Source organism: Homo sapiens, chromosome 7 (assembly GCF_000001405.40).
Source record: "Homo sapiens chromosome 7, GRCh38.p14 Primary Assembly".
In the NCBI taxonomy this organism is placed as follows: domain Eukaryota; kingdom Metazoa; phylum Chordata; class Mammalia; order Primates; family Hominidae; genus Homo; species Homo sapiens.
In genome coordinates this window covers 80,997,979-81,001,632 of record NC_000007.14, presented here as the reverse complement: position 1 = coordinate 81,001,632, position 3,654 = coordinate 80,997,979, and the positions used below count along the sequence as shown (strand labels likewise).

The window sequence follows — 3,654 nt, the reverse complement described above, 5'->3', positions numbered from 1 at the left end:
AGTGTTATTTCCTATTGTTTCTTTTCTCAGAAAGTATTACAAGCATATTTGACTAACATTAAAGTTATAGCTGATAAAAATTCATAAATTATTATTTACTCAAAGTAAAGTTGACCCAATTATTTGGGTGCCATAGTTGACATCAACTACCATAGCTAACTTTGTGATGCCAAATGATGTCAACAACTGTGAGAAAGGTAAAAATTGCATTGATTACACTCTTTTATACTTATTTCTTACACAAACATTTCAGTTACACAGCACACAATAAGGAAAAGAATACAAGTAATTATATTATTAATGTTTTTCAATGAGGAAAACCAAATAATTGACAATAAGTAATTATTTAAATAATTTAAATTTTAAAAATCATAGTTCTCCTTATGTCTAAATATCTTCATATAACATTAACATTGGAAATGTCAGAGACCACGTATATATTTACCTGATTAAATCACAGATTCTATTACTATACTTCCTGTATTCAAATCCAAGAACATTTGTCGGTTGCATGACCTTGGGAAAGCCTCTTCCTTTTTTTTTTTTTTTTTTTCTTTTTAGGTGGAGTCTTGCTTTGTCGCCCAGGCTGGAATGCAGTGGCACAATCTCAGCTCACTGCAACCTCTGCCTCCTGGGTTCACGCCATTCTCCTGCCTCAGCCTCCCGAGTAGCTGGGATTACAGGTGCCCGCCACCACGCTGGCTAATTTTTTGTATTTTTAGTAGAGACGGGGTTCCACTGTGTTAGCCAGGATGGTCTGGATCTCCTGACCTCGTGATCTGCCCACCTCGGCCTCCCAAAGTGCTGGGATTACAGGCGTGAGCCACTGCGCCCGGCCGGGAAAACCTCTTAAGTTTTTGTCCTAAATATCCTCATGTGTAAGAGGGGGGTAATAATATTCCTTATTTCATATGATTGTTGAGATGGTTAAATGTAAAGTGCTTAGCAGAGTACATAGAACTTCAGTTTTCTACTGTTTGTAAAGTGCCAATATTCGTAAGATGAATGTGTATTAGTGAATTCAACACAGCCCTAAGTCTTATTTTTATATTATACCTTTATCATCCATTTTCTTTGTTTCATCCAATAAACTCAAGAATAACTAGTATTACCTGATTTGCCTTGGGATGGTGTTTCCTTTCCTGTAATTATTTTTCAGTATCTTTATATACTCATTCTTCATTATTCAGAGAGGTCAATCCCCGATCAAATTGTATTAGATAAACACATGCCTCTATCATGTTGTATCCTGTGGCTCTCCTGCATTTTTTATAATACTTATTATTTAAATATTGACCTTCTTTGTCATTTATTTACTAACTCACTGTTTATTTTGTTTCATACAACCCTGTGTTCCCTGCATCTAGAACAGCACCTATAGAGTTGGTGCTCAGTGAGTATTTGTGGAATAACTGAATGAATACATGTCCACGTCCCCTTGTTTCTTCCTCAGCCCAAACTTTTATATCTTCTCTACTATTCACATCTTTATCATGTCTCTATCTTGTATGGATATTTGAACTGGGTTGATGGAAATTATATCCTCTTCTGAGTAGCACTTGCTTCATCATCAGTTTCCCCCAGTACAAAAGAGATTTGTTATACTGTACTGTATTATGTTCTTGGAATTGAATAGAACACAGAGGTTCTATTCATGGATTTTAAGTAAAGTTGTAGGAAAGACGGAGAAATGCATGACATGAATTACTTATTCAAAATTACTTAAGCACTTACCAAGTTTTAATGATGTTGCGGAATGGGGATTTTGCTGCTCAGTGTCAGAGAATTGCATGCCAATAGTGCCCACTGGATGTGTGCAATATGGTAGCCCTTCTAGGGAATACTGTGATATACAAGACATACAATGCTCTGCCATTAAAAATAAAGAATTTACAGGAGGGAAGGTAGATAGATATGTAATATAAGTAAAATCCCAAAGCGCAATGTTAGAAGTATAGAGAATTATGAGAACCTAAAGATGGCAATCCTAAGACACTCCAGAAATGACGCAATGCTATCCTGGGGGAGCAATGTTTATCCTCATTCCTGAAGGGTAAGGAGGAGAAGCCAGAATTCCTCATCTGTGCCCAGGGCTGGGTCTGACACACCAAAACTAGTGGTAGCTGTATTTCTGAGGGGCCCAGGTGCTAATTGTGCAGTTTTGGAGCAGATTGGCTGTGTACATAGAGGGAGAGAGACGTCACTCTAACTCTGGTGCCTAGCAATGTCCTTGTAAAAAAAATCCTGGGAAATTGCCAGTGACCAGGTGCCTCCCCTTAGAACATTGCCTAGCAGTACCTGTTAACAAGAAGAATGGTGTAAAAGAAGCTGTGAACTTACGAGATAGCTTATGAGGACTTCCAGAAATAACTGGCCAGCATTTCCAGACATTGCACGAGGAGACAGAGTGATGTCTTGCCATTTTGAGTGAGCCTGTGGAATTTGGGCATTAATATTAATGAATCCTCATCTGAACTCACAAGCTGGTGAGGCTGGCAGACATTATGGGTACCTTGATATAACTGAGAAAATGTATTCCTATGACTCTTTAACTTAGGTCTCTCTTGATACAAAGTTTAATTAACACACCTTAATTTAGGGATGTTTTTGAACATGGAGATTTCTTTATGGCTCCTCAACCCTCATCCCTCCAGGGGATGGCTAATTTCCAGATGACCCTCATTTCATCTAGGCTGCAGCACTATAACCTTCTCTTTCCTGAAGAGAGGCACACAGGTCCCTCTCAATGGTTTTCACTTCAGGGGCTCAGGTAACACTTTCACAACTTCTAGATTACATGGATTGTGAAACTCAGAAATATAAGAGCCATTCATGAACAAATTCTGGGCTGCTTCCTTTCTCCTTGTCTGCCATATCCCCACACCAAGCAATAGAAAAATCTGAAGCTCTCCCAGTCTCTGTAACACAGAGATTGATTTTGCTAAAGAATTATAGCTTTGGCCGGGTGCAGTGGCTCAAGCCTGTAATCCTAGCATTTTGGGAGGCCAAGGCGGGTGTATCACGAGGTCAGGAGCTCGAGACCAGTCTGGCCAATATGGTGAAACCCCATCTCTACTAAAAATACAAAAAAATTAGCTGGGCGGTAGTGGCACGTGCCCACTACTCGAGAGGCCGAGGCAGGAGAATCACTTGAACCTGGGAGGCGGAAGTTGCAGTGAACCGAGATTGTGCCACTGCACTCCAGCCTGGGCGACAGAGCGAGAGGTCTGTCTCAAAATAAATAAATAAGTAAATAAATAAATAATAGCTTTATTTCCAGATGAATTGTGAATCAAAATATTACTAGGATATGATTTTAACAATATGTTTATAAAGAAGGATCTATACAACAGCTATGTCTTTGAGTTTCATCTCTGTTAGCTTATCTGTGTATCTCACTCAGTCTTTATAAAGACCGATCAGAGTTACCCTGTCACGCTGACATGAGGACAGTACATAAAACAAAGACTGGTTGATATAATTGGCAGCATGGACAGTGCTCTTCGACGAATTCAATTCATTTAATTAATATTTATCAAGAGCCCAGATGGAGCCTGGCAGTCTGCGAGGTGCCAGCCACTCCCACCCTCACTGCCTTTATGCCATCTGCTGCACATGTGAGTGGCAGGCAACCCGCCACCTCAGGATGAGAAA

At 39.6% G+C, this 3,654-nt stretch overlaps 1 annotated feature.

Moving 5' to 3' along the window:
• Positions 3,153–3,351: a silencer, noted in NCBI's record as "fragment chr7:80627598-80627796 (GRCh37/hg19 assembly coordinates)". NCBI's record gives its function as "represses an EF-1alpha promoter that drives an FKBP-Casp9 reporter gene in an ReSE screen in K562 erythroleukemia cells {active_cell/tissue: K562}" and the evidence as "EXISTENCE:reporter gene assay evidence [ECO:0000049][PMID:32094911]".